General features: G+C 39.9%; 1 protein-coding gene across 4 annotated transcripts in view; it reads right to left on the bottom strand.

Moving 5' to 3' along the window:
- PAPOLG (poly(A) polymerase gamma) overlaps positions 1 to 20,727 on the bottom strand; it is a 45,819-nt gene that overhangs the window by 5,250 nt on the left and 19,842 nt on the right. For 2 of the 4 annotated variants that reach the window (NM_022894.4, XM_005264501.3), the window contains exons 9-21: positions 17,062 to 17,200; positions 16,058 to 16,130; positions 14,832 to 14,952; positions 14,067 to 14,151; positions 13,628 to 13,681; positions 9,771 to 9,890; positions 9,217 to 9,326; positions 4,955 to 5,076; positions 4,548 to 4,708; positions 3,122 to 3,210; positions 2,646 to 2,866; positions 2,062 to 2,127; positions 1,817 to 1,873 (exon numbers count right to left, since the gene is read on the bottom strand). In NM_022894.4, the coding sequence (NP_075045.2) occupies positions 1,817 to 1,873; positions 2,062 to 2,127; positions 2,646 to 2,866; positions 3,122 to 3,210; positions 4,548 to 4,708; positions 4,955 to 5,076; positions 9,217 to 9,326; positions 9,771 to 9,890; positions 13,628 to 13,681; positions 14,067 to 14,151; positions 14,832 to 14,952; positions 16,058 to 16,130; positions 17,062 to 17,200 (1,418 nt within the window). Of the gene's footprint in view, positions 1 to 1,816; positions 1,874 to 2,061; positions 2,128 to 2,645; positions 2,867 to 3,121; positions 3,211 to 4,547; positions 4,709 to 4,954; positions 5,077 to 9,216; positions 9,327 to 9,770; positions 9,891 to 13,627; positions 13,682 to 14,066; positions 14,152 to 14,831; positions 14,953 to 16,057; positions 16,131 to 17,061; positions 17,201 to 20,727 lie in introns of those variants that run through there. The other 2 variants (XM_005264500.5, XR_007080681.1) reach the window with 2 other exon arrangements.

The following is a 20,727-nucleotide window of genomic DNA, read 5'->3' as shown; positions in this document are numbered from 1 at the left end:
GAAAGGGTAGAAGTGGCAGGAGTGTGAATATGTACAGGAAAAGAGGAACTGCCATGCCTGGATCAAGAAATGCATAAAGAACACAGTCCTTAAGGTCAAGCAAAGAAAAAAAAAAGGAAGTTCATGGTGACTAAACAGGAAGCTCTTGGGGTGTGAAGTGAAAAATGAGTGTGTGCAGTAGAGAAAAATTTAATATCTGAGAGTTATGTCCCTCAATTTGTTTCTGTAATACATTCATGAAGAAGACCACTGACTCAATCTGTGAGATACTTAAGTTCTCAGGAAAACTGAACTTTGTACTTAGGCTAGATAACTTTGATGGTTATGAAATTCAGGGACATCGGTTTGAGGGATTCTGAGGGCATTAAAGATTATTACATAAAGAAGGCAAAATCTAGGGCCGGGCATGGTGGTTCACGCCTGTAATCCCAGAACTTTGGGAGGCCAAGGCGGGCGAATCACTTGAGGTCAGGAGTTCAAGAGCAGCCTGGCCAATATGGTGAAACCCTTTTCCACTACAAATACAAAAATTAGCCACTACAAATACAAAAAGATCGCGCCATTGCACTCCAACCTGGGCTACAGAGCGAGCCTCCATGTCCAAAAAAAAAAAAAAAAAAAAAAAAAAGGAAGGCAAAATCTAGACTTCTGTAATGGGGATAGTTTCTTGTCAAGAGATGACTGCTTAATTCTCCTCTTGTTTTACCTTGGCTAAGCCAGTATCTGTATCATATCCATATGCATTAAAACAATTATGAGCAATTTCAGATATACAAAGAAGTAGACACCAGGGCAATAAGGACTTAAATGCCAAAACCAAGTTTCAGACATTATTACAATTTTGCTGCAATTGTTTGGTGTACCCACTTTCCCTTTAGACTGGATATATTAAAAAATCCAGATATGTCATTTCACTCTTTTGTACTTCAATATCCATCTCAAAATTTTTTCTTCCACCATGACACATAATTATACGTTCATATTTTTTGTAACTTAATCTTATGTTAAAGGCTCAAAATCTACAACTAATAGCCTGTGAGTATACTATTTTGCTTTAGAATAGCTACTACATCCTGGAGAACCTGGCAGGGTAACAGTTGATGAAAAGCACTTTACTATTTAATGGCCATTCTGTTTTATTATAAATTATAATTTATAATTATCATCATATATATTTATAATTATTTATCATTATTATAAATAAGCCATTCTGTTCATTATAAACTCTCAGAGAAGGTTTTTCTCTATTTACACAAGGCTGGTTTTTGAGTACTTGCTTTTTAGCATACCACACTTAATACTACACACATTTTTAGTTATAAAAGTAATTCTTCAAATAATAAACATTTAAATTACAATTTAGGGGCGTTTAGCTCATGTTTTAAAGGTACTTACTATATATACCACTACATTTGGTTCCTCTAAAATATTAATACATATGGTTCCTAATTATCAAACCTATGTTTTGGCAGTAAGCAATAGTACACAACAGAGATATACCTCCAGGTGCTTGGTAAGAAATTAATGTGCTGAGCATCCAACTGCTTCTTTAAAGATAAAAAACAAAGGGTGAACATAATCTAAATAGATAATAAAGTTGTCTTAAACTACTGCCTCTTTTTTAGACTTTTGAGGTACATACATTCAGAACTATATACTTGCTATCTCCAACCCCAACTACACTGCTAGTCCTTGGGGACAGGGACAAAATCTTACTTTTTCCCAGTGCTAGGCTCTTAATAAGCCTTTTGTACTTGTAGATTACCTATGAGTTTTTACCTATGTACTGTACCTATGAACAAGACTATCTTGTTACCTTTTTGCGTGATGTATCAATAGTTGGAATAGGCATAGATTCTCCTCCAATGGCATCCTAAAAACAGAAGAATCAACACAAGTGAAAACTAACTTTCCTATATGCAAACACTTATTTCTACTTAAAATAAAACCTAACGAAAACCTGAAAATAAATCTAATCTGACCTACTTTCTAATATGGCACTTTTCCTGATACATGGCGCTTTACAATAAATATTCTGAAGCACACTATTAATATATTTACCACTGATTTTCTTTTTCTTTCTTCAGCAGTGCGGGGGTCCTTAAATGTTGATTCAAGTCGAATAAACTAAAATATAAACATTGAAATAGATTGCTATTATGTACCTACAAAAACCCATATAAATCTATATAAACTGGAAAACTAGTTATTGGTTACACTATTATAAAAATTACTATAAACATGGATTGGTAAGAGAAGATAATTTAAATTAGATTGAATTCAACTGCCACCGTTAATTTCTACAGTTTGGGTGATCTTTTTGGTTAAATCAATTCAGATTCTAACAAATATAGTTTTACCACCACCTACTGGAAGCAGGGCATATCAACACACAAGAAATGAGATTTTGTTATCAGTAATGACTTCTGTAAATCAAGGAGAAACTCAGACCAATCATTCAAATTTTCAGACGTATTAGTAATTTCAATTTAGGATGAGCAATTAATATTGTTTCTTTAAGATTTGGGTAAATATTCTTTTCAGCCAACTCCTAACAGAACACCAACAGCTATGGAAAATTGTTTCTTTAGTATTAACTATAAAAAATATCAACTACTGAATTACCACTAAAGTTGTAACTTTACCTTTTCTACGTCTTTCAACCTCTTAGGAGTCCCATCTATGGATGGGGAATGGGATCTCTTAGGTGTAACAGTCTTAGTTATATTTGACATTCCATTCAGATGCGGTTGTCCCTGGGCAGGGTTGTGAGGTGTTGTGATTCTAGGAATGACATTTCGTCCTACTACGGTAGGAATGGTACACACAGTGGGGGGTGATACAGTTTTTACTGTAGAGTCAACTTCTGAAAAGGAAAAAAAGGATTTTAATAATTAAACATTTATGTAATTTTTTTTTCCTTGAGACAGGGTCTCTCATTCCCATCACCCAGGCTGCAGTGCAGTGGCTTGATCACAGCTCACTGCAGCCTTGACTTCCCAGGCTCAGGTGACCCTCCCACCTTAGCCTCCCCAGTAGCTAGGACTACAGGCGTGTGCCACCATGCCTAGCTAATTTTTTGTAAATATAATTATTAATATATACAAGTTTAGATACCTACTTGCGCCAATCACTGGAATGGAAAGTCCTTGGGCTGGTGGTACACTCAGTGGCTTCTCCACAATTACAGCAGCAGGCTCAGCACTATTCCTAATGAAAGTGTTAAATTATCATCAATAAATGATTTAAATATTACTTTTTTTCTCCTTTTTTGAGAAAAGGCCTCATTCTACTGCCCAAGTTGGAGTGCAGTGGCACAATCACAGCTCACTGCAGCCTCAACCTCCTGGACTCAAGTAACTTTGCCACCTCAGCCTCCCAGGTAGCTAAGAACATAGGTGTGTGCCATCATATCGGGTTAATTTTTTAAATTTTTATTTTTGTGGAGACAGGATCTCACTATGTTGCCCAGGCTGGTCTTGAACTCCTGAGGCTCAAGCAATCCTCCTGCCTCAGCCTCCCAAAGTGCTGAAATTATAGATGTGACCCACCACGCCTGGCCCCATTAGTTATTTAAAACACTCTTGTTGTAACATTTACCACTGCTTTTTTTTTTTTTTTTTTTTTTTTTAGACATGGTATTGTTCTGTCACCTAGGCTAGAGTGCAGTGGCATGAACACATGGATCACTGCAGCCTCAACCTTCCGGGCTCAAGCTATTCTCCCACCTTGGCCTCCCAGGTAGCTGGGACTACAGGTGTGCACTACCATGCCGAGCTAATTTTTGTTTTTGTTTTTTTGAGACAGAGTCTCGCTCTTGTTGCCTAGGCTGGAGTGCAATGGCACGATCTCAGCTCACTGCAACCTCCACCTCCTGGGTTCAAGCGATTCTCCTGCCTCAGCCTCCCAAGTAGCTGGGAATACAGGCACATGCCACCACACCCTGTTAATTTTTGCATTTTTAGTAGAGATGTGGTTTTGCCATGTTGGCCAGGCTGGTCTCGAACTCCTGACCTCAGGTGATCTGCCCGCCTTGGCCTCCCAAAGTGTTGGGATTACAGGCGTGAGCAACTGTGCCCGGCCAATTAATTTTTGTATTTTTTTGTATAGACAGGGTTTTGCCATGTTACCCAGGCTGGTCTTGGAACTCCTGGGCTCCAGCAGTTCGCCTGCCGTGACCTCTCAAAGTGCTAGGATTACAGGCCTGAGCCACCGTGCCTGGCCACAACTGTTGGCTCAGGCCTGTACTTTAACATTTCATTGAACTAAAAGGGGGAAAAATGCAGAGGACCCAGTAAGAAGAGAAAAATTTAAGCAACAAATGTGTACATTTCTGTGTACCTATCTAGTCCCATATGCTCATAAGCCTATACCGTTTCCCACAGGATTACCACGAGTTATTTCTAAGCAAGAAATTGACCAGCAGCCAGTAAAATGAAATCTTTTAACAATTTTAAAAGGCAGTAGCAGAGGTATAGAAAAGTTCACATTATCCTCAAATAAACTGAACAGAAAACCAAAAGGACACATTTGAAATAAAGACAGACCTTTCTGTTTCTCCTACAGAAGGGCTATCAGACTTGGACGCTGGAGAATTAAAAGGTGTTCCATTATCAGTGTCTCTGGAGCTATCCAGACAACTGCTATCCAGAGACAATCTTTTGGATTGAAGTCCGCCCGAGCTTCGATTGACATCAGAGAGACTTTGCTGAAAGAAGGGAACGATTTTAGGATTTCAAAATGCAAATGACAATATAAAGACTGGTTTCAATTCTGAAGGTCACTTAAGCAAATTATCTCTTGTGATTAATGAAAATGAGATTTTAGTCCTAGATTGAACTGCCTATATCTTCCTTATTTTTCTCAATAGGTTTGGGAGCTGTAGAATGCAAATTTGGTCCCAGATCATTTGTCTGAGTAAAACCATACTGAAGGGTTAAGATTATAAACTCACCTTTTTCTTCTTTTGAAGAATTTCTGCAGGAAGGTAGTGGTGAAGTTGTTTTTTCTTTACATGAGTTGCTTCAATTTTCATTCCCTCCTTTAGCATATTTATATTGTTTGCCTGTCTGTACACTGTAACAATGTTAATATGTTAAATGGGAAACTTCTTTCTGAACCAAGGGTTCTGCCTAATTTTTCTGAAATGCATATACTTTTACTATCTCCCCACTATCACCACCGGCCACCCACCCACCCACAACCCTCTCACAAAACAAATATTTTTAATACACTTCCATCACATCACAATCCTATTCATGAATCCACTAGTTTTTCTTTTTTTGAGATGGAGTTTCACTCTTGCTGCCCAGGCTGGAGTGCAATGGCGCAATCTCAGCTCACCACAACCTCCACCTCCTGGGTTCAAGCCATTCTCCTGCCTCAGCCTCCCGAGTAGCTGGGATTACAGGCATGCGCCACCACGTCCAGCTAACTTTTTTGATTTTTCGTAGAGACTGGGTTTCTCCATGTTGGTCAGGCTGGTCTAGAACTCCTGACTTCAGGTGATCCGCCCACCTCGGCCTCCCAAAGTGGTGGGATTATAGGCGTAAGCCACCGTGCCCAGCCATGAATCCAATAGTTTTTCCATGTCCACTTTCTAAGACTTTCTCATAATCAAACCTTGTTGATAGAATAAATATATTTAAAAAACGGTATTTTCCAGATCTTATTTTCTGATATTTTCCCCAAAGGCAATCTCTCCTCATAACTACTTGCCCAGGTCTAAGCTAATTCTTTTTTTTTTTTGACACAGACTCTCGCTCTGTCATCCAGGCTTGAGTGCAGTGGCACAATCTTAACTCATTGCAACCTCTGCCTCCGGGGTTCAAGCTATTCTCCTGCCTCAGCCTCCCCAGTAGCTGGGACTAGAAGCGCATGGCACCATGCCCAGCTACTTTTTGGATTTTTTGTAGAGACAGGGTTTCATTATGTTGGCCAGGCTGGTCTTGAACTCCTGACCTCAAGTGATCCACCCACCTTGGCCTCCCAAAGTGCTGGGATTACAGGTGTGAACCACTGCACCTGGCCTTCTAAGCTAATTCTTAGGCCAAATATCCAAGGTGCAATTCAAGCTATCCTCCTCCTCCATGAGAATTTACTACTGCAGCTACCACACCAATCATAGAATGACAGACTTCAGGAACCATCTTACAAATACATCCTTATTGTACAGTTGAGAAAAGGAGGCTAAACAGCTCTGAATACCTTGCCAGGATCAGAATCCACACAGCCCTAGATTCCCATTCTAGTGCTTTTCACGCCTTATAAGAAAATGGGTTTTATTAACTCACACACAAATGTCTTAATGTTTTAATTGTAAATATACCCAATGAAAAAACAGGTTTTATTAACTACCACACAAATTTCTTAATGTTTTAATTGTAAATATACTCAATGAGATTATAAGCCCACTGAAGACAGGGATGGGAGGCTTGTTTTACACAGCAAGTACTGTGAGATGTAGTAAATTATTTAATCTCTTGGGGCCTCAAGTTTCTTAATCTGAAAAATAATATCTTATAAATTTATAATAAACTATGTCCCAGTCTTATCCTTTCTAAAAAATTTAAGCCCTAATTAGAATGGAAAAATTTATGGCGAATGTTTTTATTCCAGATTGATTATGAAAGAGTTACCAGGAGTGCTTGTTTAAGTTGCAGATTCTCTGGCTCCCTCCCCAGAGTGTGATTTAATGGTTCTAAGGTGAAACATAAGAATCTGCATTTTCTTTTCTTTTTTTGAGATGGAGTTTCGCTCTTGTTGCCCAGGCTGGAGTGCAACAGCGAGATCTCAGCTCACTGCAACCTCCGCCTCCCAGGTTCAAGCGATTCTCCTGCCTTAGCCTCTGGAATAGCTGGGATTACAGGCACCCGCCACCACACCTGGCTAATTTTTGTATATTTAGTAGAGATGGGTGGGGTTTCACCATGTTGGCCAGGTTGGTCTTGAACTCCAGACCTCAGGTAATTTGCCCGCCTTGGCCTCCCAAAGTGCTGGGATTACAGGCGTGAGCCACCACGCCCAGCCAGGAATCTGCATTTTCATGATAAATATGAGGGCTCTTTCAAAAGAATTCAGAAAACCCAGATGAGCCAAGCCAATACCTTTAATAGTATGAATGTATAACTATTCCAGATTCTTAAGATAAATAACCCCAAATTTATAACAGATACATTAAGATATTCCAGAGTTGTGACTAGAGGGCTAGATGTGAAAGACATACTTTTCACTGATCCTGAAATATATTCAGCAATTCTGTACTTACTGATATTTATTTCATATCAAAAACATAAAAGTCTGGCCAGGTGCGGTGGTTGACACCTGTAATCCCAGCACTTTAAAGAGGCCAAGGTGGGCAAATTGCTTGAGCCCAGGAGTTCGAGATCAGCCTGGGCAACATGGCGAAATCCTGTCTCTATTTAAAACAAACAAAAAACCCATAAAAATCAAGTCTTTTATTTTTTATTTTTTATTTATTTATTTATTTTCTATTTTATTTTATTATTATTATACTTTTAAGTTTTAGGGTACATGTGCACAATGTGCAGGTTAGTTACATATGTATACATGTGCCATGCTGGTGTGCTGCACCCATTAACTCGTCATTTAGCATAAGGTGTACTTCCTAAAGCTATCCCTCCCCGCTCCCCCCACCCCACAACAGTCCCCAGAGTGTGATGTTCCCCTTCCTGTGTCCATGTATTCTCATTGTTCAGTTCCCACCTATGAGTGAGAATATGTGGTGTTTGGTTTTTTGTTCTTGCCATAGTTTACTGAGAATGATGATTTCCAATTTCATCCATGTCCCTACGAAGGACATGAACTCATCATTTTTTATGGCTGCATAGTATCTCACTTTGTCACCCAGGCTGGAGAGCAATGGCGCAATCTCGGCTCACTGCAGCCTTGACCTTCTGGGTTCAAGCAATTCTCCCACCTCAGCCTCCCAGATAGCTGGGAGCACAAGGCACGATACCTGGCAAACTTTTTTTTGTATTTTTTGTAGAGATGGGGTTTCACCATGTTGCCCAGGCTGGTCTCAAACTCCTGAGCTCAAGAGATTCACCCATCCCAGTCTCCCAAAGTATTAGGATTACAAGCACTTGTGAGCCACCGTGCCTGGCAAAAATCAAGTCATCTTTAAGACTGTGATCACAAACCCCGGTTGTACATACAAAGAGCTTTCCTTTCTTTGTTTTAAAACAGATAACATTCAGCCAGGCGAGGTGGCTCACACCTGTAATCCCAGAACTTTTGGGAGGCCGAGGCAGGATCACTTGAGGTCAGGTGTTCAAGACCAGCCTGGCCAGCATGGTGAAACTCCGTCTCTACTAAAAATAAAAAAATTAGCCAGGACTGGTGGCACGCACCTGTAATTCCAGCTACTCGGGAGGCTGGGGCATGAGAATCACTTGAACCCCAGAGGTGGAGGTTGCAGTGAGCTGAGATCGCACCACTGCAGTCCGGCCTGGGTGACAGAGTGAGACTCTGTCTCTTAAAACAAAATAAAATAAAACAGATAACATTCACATGCTACAAAACTTAAAGCGTTGAAGAGTATTCAGTGATGTCTCCTTATCCTGTACCCTGACCTAGAAGCAACCAGTCTTGCCATTTTTTTTAAACTAAGTATCCTTCCAGAGATATTCTATGCATTTGTAAGCAAATGTGTATTTATTTTCTTTTATTTTTATATAAATAGCACAGTGTACACAGTGTTCTGAATTTTACCCCCCACTTAATATATCTTGGAAATTGCTTCATAATGCTTTTTTTTTTCTTTTTTTCTTTTTTTGAGACAGTCTCACTCTGTGGGCCAGGCCAGAGTGCAGTGGGGCGATCTCGGCTCACTGCAACCTCCTCCTCCCAGGTTCAAGCAATTTTCCTGCCTCAGCCTCCCAAGCAGCTGGCATCCGCCACCACACTCTACTAACTTTGTATTTTTAGTAGAGACGGGGTTTCACCGTATTAGCCAGGCTGGTCTCGAATTCCTGACCTCAGGTAATCTGCCCGCCTCTGCCTCCCAAAGTGCTGGGATTACAGGCATTAGCCACCGCACCCGGCTCCTTTCCTGTTTTAACAGCAATACGGATATGCCATGTTCACTTAACCAATTGTGGAACTTTAATAAGTACAGCCAGCCAGATTGTAGGCAGATGACACTGAGTAATAGCCAGGTTTGAGAATCACAGCTCTATGATGATGGAGTCTTACCTGTATCAGTAAATGACTGTATATCATATGTCAAGTCTATGTTGACACTTTCTGCATTTTCTACTCTCCGAAAAATTATCCCAAGGAACCACATTGATACGTAATTGTTGCTATAAAGTAAAATTTAAGAATTTCCATTAATTATTATTATTTTTTACAACTTTACAGATGCTATTTCATAATTAAAACTTGGTCTCTATGTCTCTATCTCACAAATACAGATTTCAGTGGTCTGGCCAGATTCTTAAAAGTGACATCCAGAACTGGTAAGTTATCCCCTGTTGTTCTGAGAAGGATTAAGCAGCTATGAAAATGACTTACTAAATATATTCTTAAAGATGCTCCAAATATTGTGATGGTGTTTTGCTGGGGTTTGTGGGCTACCAAAGTAGTTATGTACTTATTTTTAATGCCTAGACACTCAAACTCAAATATATAATGTGTCATACTCCCATCAATGCCTGTTAAACAAAAATCTCACAATTACTCTGAAATGATGCATATACCAAATAACATTATTTAAGAAATAAAGTATTATAAAACAATTAACTTACTCTTTATGATGTTCCTTATTCCCTGGGAATGACTGGGGATTCACATGGGCAAGAGTAATAAATTCATTCCGTTCCAAGTTTCCAACAAGTACACGGATTTTAGATTCTACTAATCCAACCCTAAAATAAACAACAAACACAATTTATCTTATGTCCACTTTAAATTTGAAAGCTACACTCAAGTAAACCAAACAGCATATTAACTACGAAGCTTTACATGTTCATTAAAAAACTTCGGGCTGGGCATGGTGGCTCACATCTGTACTCCCAGCACTTTGGGAGGCAAGAGTGGGTGAATCGCCTGAGGTCAGGAGTTCAAGACCAGTTTGGCCAACACGGCAAAATCCCGTCTCTACTAAAAATACAAAAAATTAGCTGGGTGTGGTGGTGAGTGCCTGTAATCCCAGCTACTTGGGAGGCTGAAGCAGGAGAATCACGTGAAACTGGGAGGTGGAGGTTGCAGTGAGCTGAGATTGTGCCACTGCACTCCAGCCTGGGCAACAGAGCAAGACTCCGTCTCAAAAAAAAAAATTTCAGGCCAGGTGCAGTGGCTCATGCCTGTAATCCCAGCACTTTGGAAGACTGAGGTGCACAGATCACCTGAGGTCAGGAGTTCGAGACCAGCCTGGCCAACATGGTGAAACCCTGTCTTTACTAAAAATACAAAAAAAATTGGCCGAGTATGGCGCACACCTATATTCCCAGCTACTCAGGAGGCTGAAGCACGAGAATTGCTTGAAGCTGGGAGGTGGAGGTTGCAGTGAGCTAAGATCACCCCACTGCACTCCAGCCTGGGTGACAGAGTGAGGTTCCATCTCTAAATAAATAAATAAATAAAATAAAAATTTCAGCCCAATATATTAGGAACCCCATTTTAAATGCAATTGTAAACACAATTGATTTTATATCAACTTTAAATATGAAAGCTACACTCAAGTAAACCAAACAGCATATTACCTATGAATCTTTACATGTTCATTTAAAAATTTCAGCCCAATATATTAGGAACCCCATTTAAAACGCCATTGTAGTAAATGACAAGTTAGTAGATTTCTGTGTGTTCTTTTTTTTAATAGAAGAACTAATCTATGTAATGCATTCCTGAATCTAAAATACCCTTAGTTAAGACTATAAAACAGTCATGGCTTAGGGCATGAACAAAAACTGCTGGTTTATCTAGTCCTGAATCTTTTTCTACCTTCAAATCTTATGTCTCAAACCTAAGGCTAGGCTAGGCCAGGTGCGGTGGCTCATGCTTGTTAATCCCAGCACTTTGGGAAGCTGAGGCGGGAGGATCACGTGAAGCCAGGAGTTCGAGATCACCTGGGGCAACATAGTGAGATTCCATCCCTATAAGATAAAAAAAAAAAAAAAAATCAGCCAGGTATGGTAGCAAGGGCCTGCAGGCCCCAGCTACTTGGGGAGCCGAGGCAGGAGGCATCGCTTGATCCCAGGAGTTTGAGGTTGCAGTATGATCACCCCACTATACTCCAGCCTGGGTGACAGTGAGACTCCGTCTCTAAAAAAAAAAATAAATCCTAAGGCTAAGATAAGTTTAAACAATGAAACTAATATTGGCACATAATATATGAAACAATCATGCTTGACTTTGCATTTAAAAAAATTCACGGGCTGGGCACGGTGGCTAACGCCTGTAATCCCAGCACTCTGGGAGGCCAAGGTGGGTGCATCACGAGGACAGGAGATTGAGACCATCCTGGCTAACATGGTGAAACCCCGTCTCTACTAAAAATACAAAAAATTAGCCAGGCGAGGTGCGGGCGCCTGTAGTCCCAGCTGCTTGCCAGGCTGAGGCAGGAGAATGGCATGAACCTGGGAGGTGGAGCTTTCAGTGAGCTGAGATCGCACCACTACACTCCAGTCTGGGTGACAAAGCAAGACTCCATATCAAAAAAAAAACAAAAAACAAAAAAAGAATTCACTAAATTTGGATCACATCCTATTAAAATACAGCAAGTCTCATCGGATTTCTGCAATTTTATTTCTATCTCACTTAAGAAATGTGACCGATGGCAGCTTGCTTATTAATGACTTTATGAATTAGAAACATTACAAGAACATTTTAACATTTTTTAAAAACATCAGCAAAAGCTTATACATTATAATTATGTGTGCTTTAACAGTAAATCTACAAAAATCTGTGTTATTCCAGTGTCATCTAAATGACGGGTTGGCAAACTTTTTCTGTAAAGGGCTAAATAGTAAATTTTAGGGTTTCTGGGCCATACAGTCTTTGTTACACCTATTCAACTTTGCTATGAAGCACAGAAGCAGCCATAGATAATATATAAACGAAGAAACATGGCTATGTTCCAATAAAACTTTATAAAAATAGGTGGCAGACTGAATTTGGCCTAGACCCTATTTTCTGACTGCAGATCTAGACAAACAAAATACTGTTTCAGTGACAGGATTATTTTCAGAGTTCCTTTAATTACCAATGAAATAAGGATTAAACTCTTGAAGCAAAAATAAAACAGTATTGCTGTTTTGCTTTTCCAGAAGTCAGACCCAAGGAAAGTACAACCATCTCTGGTGGTCTAACAGCTTCCGTCTGATAGAGCCAAGGATGTGAATATAGTAGAGGCAGAAGGGATAAATTTAGATGCACTAGAAAGAACACACTACTTCTTGACCACAAATATCTCTTACCTGTTGACGGAAGCTTAATCTGAAAGATTTAAGCCATTATCTCCTAAATTAAAAGGATATACAAAATGTCTTTTCTACTGAGTTTTGTTGGAGGTAAACACAATGGCAAAAATGAAAAACTCAGGCCGGGTGTGGTGGCTCACGCCTGTAATTCCAGCACTTTGGGAGGCCAAGGCGGGTGGATCACGAGGTGAGGAGTTCAAGACCAGCCTGGCCAAGATGGTGAAACCCCGTCTCTACTAAAAGTACAAAAATTAGCTGGGCGTGGTGGTGGGTGCTTGTAATCCCAGATACTCTGGAGGCTGAGGCAGAGAATTGCTTGAACCCGGGAGGCGGAGGTTGCAGTGAGCTGAGATCACGCCACTGCACTCCAGCCTCAGCAACACAGCGAGACTCCGTCTCAAAATAAAAAATAAAAACAAAGAAAAGAGAAACTCAGATGGTAGCTATCAGAATCATCCAAACTAGCTCAAAATTTTGCTTAAATCTGGCTGAGAAGCAATAAGAAGCAACATCTATACATGTGTCTTTTGCTCATGTCCCTCCTGATTCTGAAACATTAATTTGATGGCATATTTTAAACACTGAAGCTCCATGGTCATGCACAACAATCACCAGTAAGATATAATAATTTTACGGATCACTTGAGGTCAGGAGTTCGAGACCAGCCTGGCCAACATGGTAAAACCCCATCTCTACTAAAAATACAAAAATTAGCCACAGGGCATAGAAGTGCACACCTGTAGTCCCAGCTACTCAGGCGGCTAAGGCAGGGGAATCACTTGAACCCAGGAGGCGGAGGTTGCAGTGAGCTGAGATTATGCCACTACACTCCAGTCTGGGTGACAGAGGGAGACTCCTTCTCAAAAAAAAAAAAAAAAAAAAAAAAAAAAGGCCGGGTAAAGTGGCTCAGGCCTGTAATCCCAGCACTTTGGGAGGCTGAGGTGGGCGGATCACCTGAGGTCAGGAGCTCGAGATCAGCCTGACCAACGTGGCGAAACTGAGATCGCGACACTGCACTCCAGCCTAGACAACAGAGACTTTGTCTCAAAAAAAAAAAAAAAAAAAAGAGATATAATAATTTTGAAAATCAAGCAAGAAAGTACTTTATAAATGGTAAAGCACCATATAAATAAGTTACTATCACCACACAGTAGGTAGAAAACTTGAAATAGAAGTCTTACCACTCTAGATGGTTTTCTTCTGTTGATGCGCTGGCAGTCAATACTATATAATGTCTGAAGAATTTTCAGCAACAATCAGGAAAAAAAGCCAGAAAAATTGTTACAGCCTGCTTTTTAATCATCCCCTTTTTTCCCTCCCTCTCACTGAACAAATGAGCTAATAAAGGCACACAGTTTATGAAAATTAAATGTGCTCTGATTTTCACAAAATTAATTCTAGGTCCTACAAGTAAAAAACAATTCACTTTAAAAAGTCACTAATACTGGATTAGATACTACCAGAATAAAGAAACACTCTTATCTCTTAGGATTTTTGTTAATCTATTCTCTCTTGCTTAAGAAATAAAAGAGCTGTCACCTGCCATATATTAACTATGTTTAACATTCTTCTTTAAAAAAAAAAAAATCACATACATACAAAATACAAAATTTCACGTACCTATACTTTTGAAAGAAATTCGGTGGCTCAAGTAGTTTGGACCAATCTGACTTTCCTTGAAGAATTTCATCTGTGACTGCAAGACCTAAATTAAAAAAAAAAAAAAAAAAAAAAAAAGAAGAAGAATGATTTTGAAAAGGGACCAGCTCTTAAATCACTCTACTACTACAAAATCTCAAACTCCACCAGACGAAATTTTTTTTTTTCTTTTTTTGAGACAGAGTCTCACTCTGTCACCCAGGCTGGAGTGTGGTGGATCTATCTCGGCTCACTGCAACCTCTACCTCCTGGGTTCAAGCGATTCTCCTGCCCCAGGCTCCTGAGTAGCTGGGATTACAGGTGCCCACCACCACTTCCGGCTAATTTTTGTGAGACAGGGTTTCACCAGGTTGGCTAGGCTGGTCTTGAACTCCTGACCTCAGGTCATCTGCTCGCCTCGGCCTCCCAAAGTGCTAGGATTATAGGCATGAGCCATCGCGCCCGGCCCACCAAACTCTTGAGTAACAAAATATAAATATATATAATGTTGTTTCTTAGAACACAAAAAATTAGTTTCAACCAGACTGGGCTGGCTCCATTTTTGGCCTTAATATTATCATATACTTTTGAAAACTCATTACTAAAAAACAAAATAACCATACTTGAAAGAATTTTTAGAAAGAATAGGTATAACTCTAACTGCCAATCCATAGCTGCAACAGAGAATAAAACTGTTAACCAAAAACTTGTGGGAATATGTAAAGGGCAACAGGGCCACATGTTTACCTTGTTTAAATTCTTCTACCATTACTGTTCGAGTTGATGTGGACACATTATACGTAGAATTCTGTTGTGGGTAGGCAGGGGTGATTATGGGCATGAGATGATACCTATCTGATGGATTTACCTGTGAAATTAGAAGCAGAATAACTGATCTATTCTCCTATTTCAGTTGTTCTCACTTCATTTCCCCAAAAGTCTGAAGAATATGAAATATAAATTTAATACTACATTTCCTCAAGTTTAAGAAGTACATTTTCCCTCCCCAACTGCATTTATTTCTGAAGTTGGATATGTCTGATAGTCAAAGTCAAAGGAAATACTGCAGAAGTATATTTTTCCTCAGAAAAGCTGTTAAATTGATGTGCATCTTATAAACAATGATCTCTTATAATCAAGGAAATACAGTATTATAACTACAAAAAGCATTATCTGGTTTAATGGTTCTCAATCCTTTTTCACCACCCACTCAATGGATGACTTCCCCTTGGTTACCTAGAGGAATGAGCACTCACTCTAAAAGCAAATTAAAATGCAAGATATGGGAGAATTATGCTACCCTGGAACAATGAATTTGCTTTAAATTGTATTGCAAAGTAAATCTTTTATTATACTTTAGTACTTTATTATTAGTAACCAATTACTTTTTTTTTTTGAGACGAAGTCTCAACTCGTCACCCAGGCTGGAGTGCAGTGGCACAGTCTCGGCTCACTGCAACCTGTGCCTCTGGGGTTCAGGTGATTCTCGTGCCTCAGCCTCCAGAGTAGCTGGAACTACAGGTGTGCACCACCACGCCCGGCTAATTTTTTATATTTTCAGTAGAGAGGGGGTTTCACCACGTTGGCCAGGCTGGTCTTGAACTCCTGACCGCAGGTGATCCACCCGCCTCGGCCTCCCAAAGAGCTGGGATTACAGGCGTGAACCATCATGCCCAGCCAAGTATCCAATTACTTTTGAGACATTTTTTCCACACTGGATTATGACACTGTCCATAAGACACCCACTCATCTTACATGGGCGATTTTTAATGACATAACATTTGGATCAGCATTAGTGATCCTAATCATCTGCACAAAAAACAAAACAAAAACCACAGCAGAAGGAGGAAGGGGACTATAGTTATATAGAAGGAAGAACAGAGACAAGAGGAACTATCTTTAACTAGACTGTAATTTAGTGAAATGTCCTCTTCCTTAAAAGCTTTAAAGAAACTCCATAATAAATCACATACCCGAGGATCCCAGACAGGCAAATTCAAATTGCTTTCTTCTGGTTGCTTCAGCAGCACAGGATTTGGCCATTCCCTGACATGAATAAGGCAAATTAACTTACACATGATCTCACTTCAGGTACTACATGAAACTTTATAATTATTAGATTGTTCTAACCTTCTACAGAGTGAATGTTCTGGGTATTTGGTATTAAAGGAAAAAAAGGCCGAGCATGGTGGCTCATGCCTGTAATCCCAGTACTCTGGGAAGCTGAGGCAGGCAGATCACCTGAGCTCAGGAGTTCGAGACCATCCTGGGCAACATGGAGAAATCCTGTCTCTACTAAAAACACAAAAATTAGCCATGCCTAGTGGTGCACGCTTATAGTCCCAGGTACTCAGGAGGCTGAGGTGAGAGGATCACTTGAGCCCAGGAGGCAGAGGCTGCAGTGAGCTGAGATGCATGCACTCTAGCCTGGGCAACAGAGTGAGACCCTGTCTCAATTAAAAAAAAAAAAAAAAAGGCTAGGTAAGAAAGTATACAAAGGAAAGGCTGCTCATTTTAATGCAGTGTTCTCTGAAAGGGCAAATATTACTTTTCATTAACTGTAACTAATTTACACCTGAATCTTTCACTTCCTTCTCATTTGCTTTCATGGATTTAATTCCGATAATTTAGTAACAGCAACAGCCAACATTTACTGAAAATACTAATATATCAATGTGATTATCATCTCCATTTTACAAATGAGGAAAGCTTAAACGACCTCTACATAACTAGTAATTTGCAAAGCCAAACTTATTTTAACTGCTCTCCCAAGCTAAAGGCCCACATTTACAAATCCCTGGAAGAAGGTGCCAATTAGATGTCCCACCATTGCCTCAAAGTTGATGTTTTATACTTTCAACTTTACAAAGCAATGTAAAACAACAGAAAAAGTCTATGTATAGCTCTTAAATTTCCAAACAAACTTACGCATAGGTAGAGATTAGTAAACAGTCAAAGTACACACGTAAATACTTACCACTTGGAAAAAACTAAAAAGAACTTATGAACTAAAGTAGATGCTGCTGCATTTGGATACAATTGGCAAGTTCTTGCAACTAGCATTGCCCAGGAGACACCACCAAGGAATCCTAGCATGTTGGAATAAATACCACGTCCTAGAAAATCAATATATTTGTTAATTATTATTAGGACCTACTATCTGTGACATTCTTTTTTTTTCTGCTCTTTACAAGGTGAATGAATATCCGTGACATTCAACAAGGTAACTTTATTCATAAGACGGTTGGTTGGAAATTTTCCCCTATAAACAAAACATTAAAACTGATAAGCAGACCTTCACATTAGGCCCACAGTCTAATTAGTAAACCATAAATTGCTAATCTTACCCTCCTTACTTTCCCTTCTAATACAGACACCTCAGTTCTTTGCCTCAGTTCCAACTGCCCAACTGGGCTCCACTGATACTACATTGAAATTCCCCATTTTTCAGTATTTAGGATTGAGAGAAAAATGAAAGGAAGGAGACATTTGGAGAGACAATGGGGAAGAATGAATATTTAATTAATAATCATATTCATGGGTATTTTTAAATCAAGTATAAAGCTGGAGACTTACTTCAGTATTTCACAGAATTTGGATACCTCTCCATAAAGTAGAATACACCACTGATATCATTCATTTCTATTTTTTTTTTTCTTTTTTTAAGAGATGGGCTCTCACTCTGTCACCCAGACTGGAGTGAACTGGCACAATCATAATTCACTGTAGCCTCAAACTCCTGGGCTCAACTGATCCTCCACCTCAGCCTCTTGCGTAGCTATGATTACAGGGGTGCACCACCATGGTTGTCATGACCGTTTTTTATATAGCTATCTATATTATGTCCCGCCAAGCGAGCAAAAGAAAAAAACCTACAAAATACCAATTTCAGATGTGGTAAATATGAAAAATATGCATCTAACTGACAAAACATGGCATTTAATCTTTAAAGAAGGGCAAATTGTTCATGTTATCCCTTCAGTGCAAATTTTACTTTATCTTAAGTATACAAGACACTTGAGCCCAAGGACAAATTCTACTTGCTTACTATCTTTTTAGACCTGCACTGTCCAATATGGTAGCCACAAGCCATGTGTTGCTATTTTTTAACTTGTAACAGCTTTATTGAGATGTAATTCACATACCATAAGATTCGTCCATTTAAAGTACACAATTCAATGGTTTTTTAGTATACTGAGAGTTGTGCAATCATCAACATGATCAATACTAGAATGTTTTCAGCACCCCGAAAAGAAACCTTTAACTGTCACACTCAGCCAGGCACTGTGGCTCACACCTGTAATCCCACCACTTTTGGAGGCCAAGGCAGGAGGACTGGTTGAGCTCAGGAGTTTGAGACCAGCCTAGCTAACATAGCAACACCTCGTCTCTGCTAAAAAATAAATAAATAAAATAAAATAAAATAAAATAAAATAAAATTAGCCGGGTGTAGTGGCATATGCCTGTAGTTCTAGCTACTCGGGAGGCTAGAGTGGAAGGATCGCTTGGGCCCAGAAGGTTGAGGCTGCAGTGAGCTATAATTGCACCACTGCATTCCGGTCTGGGAGATACAGCAAGCCCCTGTCTAAAAAAATAAAATGAAATAAAATATAAAGGCATACCTCGTTTTGTTGTGTTTTGCTTTATTACACTTCACAGATACTGAGTTTTTTACAAACTGAAGGTTTGCGGCAACCTTGAGTTGAGAAAATCTTTCAGCACCATTTTTCCAAGAGCATAAGCTCTCACTTCATGTCTCTGTGTCACATTTTAGTAATTCTCACAATATTTCAAACTTTTTCATTATTATTATATCTGTTATGGTGATTTGTGATTAGTGATCTTTGATGTTACTATTGTAATTGTTTTGGGGCACCACAAACTGAGCCCATATAAGACGGTGAACTTGGTAAATGTATATGTTCTGAATGCTCCACCAACTGGTCATTACCCATCTCTCTCCCTCTCCTCAGGTCTCCCTACTCCTGGAGACACAACAATACTTAAATTAGGCCAGTTAAGAACCCTTAATGGCCTCTAAGTGTTCAAGTAAAAGAAAGAGTCGTATGTCTCTCACTTTAAATCAAAAACTAGAAAAGATTAAGCTCAGTGAAAAAGGCATGTTGAAAGTTATGATAGTCCGAAAGCTATGCCCCTTGTGCCAATCAGTTAACCAAGCTGTGAATGCCAAGGAAAAGTTATTGACAGAAATTACAAGTGCTACTCTCCAGTGAATATAGGAATGACAAAAAAAGTAAAACTGCTTTATTGCTGACAGAAAAAAAAAATTTTTTTTTGAGACGGAGTCTTGCTCTGTCGCCCAGGCTGGAGTGCAGTGGTGCCATCTCAGCTCACCACAACCTCTGCCTCCTGGGTTCAAGTGATTCTCCTGCCTCAGCTTCCCGAGTAGCTGGGATTACAGGCACGTGCCACCACACTCGGCTAATTTTTGTATTTTTAGTAGAGAGGGGGTTTCACTATGTTGGTCAGGCTGATCTCGAACTCTCCTGACCTCATGATCCGCTCGCCTCGGCCTCCCAAAGTACTGGGATTACAGCTGTGAGCCACTGCGCCTGGCTGCTGATAGAAAATTTTAACGGTCTGGATGGAAGATCAAACAAGACACAATGTTTCCTTAGGCCAAAGTCTAATCCAGAGCAAAGCCCTAACTTCTCTTCAATCATATGAAGGCTGAGAGAGGTGAGGAAGGTGCAGAAGAAAAGTCTGAAGCTAGTGAAGATTGGTTCATAAGGTTTAAAGAAAGAAGCCATCTCCACAACTAGAAGTGCAACAAGTGCTGATGCAGAAGTTGCAGGAAGTTATCCAGAAGATCTAGTTAAAATCATTGATGAAGGTGGCTACACTAAACAACAAATTATCAATGTAGATGAAACAGCCTTATACTGGAAGAAGATGCCATCTAGGACTTTCACAGCTAGAGAGGAGAAGCTTGGTTTCAAAGCTTCAAAGGGTAGGTGATTCTCTTGTTAGAGGCTAATGCAGCTGGTGACTTTAAATTGAAGCTGGCCGGGCATGGTGGCTCATGCTTGTAATCCCAGCACTTTGGGAGGCCAAGGCAGGCAGATCACCTGAGGTCAGGACTTCAAGATCAGCCTGGCCAACATGGTAAAACCCTATCTCTACTAAAAATACAAAAATTAGCCAGGTGTGGTGGCACATGCCTGTAATTCCAGCTACTTGGGAGGCTGAGGCAGGAGAATCACTTGAACCCAGGAGGCGGTGGTTGCCGTGAGCTGAGATCGCGCCACTGCACTCCAGCCTGGGCGAGACAGTGAGACTCCATCTCAAAAAAAAAAAAAAAAAAAAAAAAAAATGAAGCCAATGCTCATTTAACATTCCCAAAATCCCAGCGCCCTTAAGAATGATGCTCACTCTACTGTCTGTGCTGTACAAACAGAACAACAAAGCCTAGATGACAGCACAGCTGTTGACAGCATGGTTTACTGAGTATTTTAAAGCCCATTGGTGAGATCTACTGCTCAGAAAAAAAAAAGATTCCTTTCTAAGTAGGACTGCTCTTTTGACAATGCACCTAGTCACCCACGAGCTCCAGTGGACACATACTAGGAGATTAAAGTTACTTTCATGTCTGCTAATACAGCATCTATTCTATAGCCCATGG

The sequence above is a fragment of the Homo sapiens genome, chromosome 2 (genome assembly GCF_000001405.40).
Source record: "Homo sapiens chromosome 2, GRCh38.p14 Primary Assembly".
In the NCBI taxonomy this organism is placed as follows: Eukaryota; Metazoa; Chordata; class Mammalia; order Primates; family Hominidae; genus Homo; species Homo sapiens.
The sequence above is the reverse complement of the archived record's forward strand: the minus strand, read 5'-3'. Positions and strand labels throughout refer to the sequence as shown.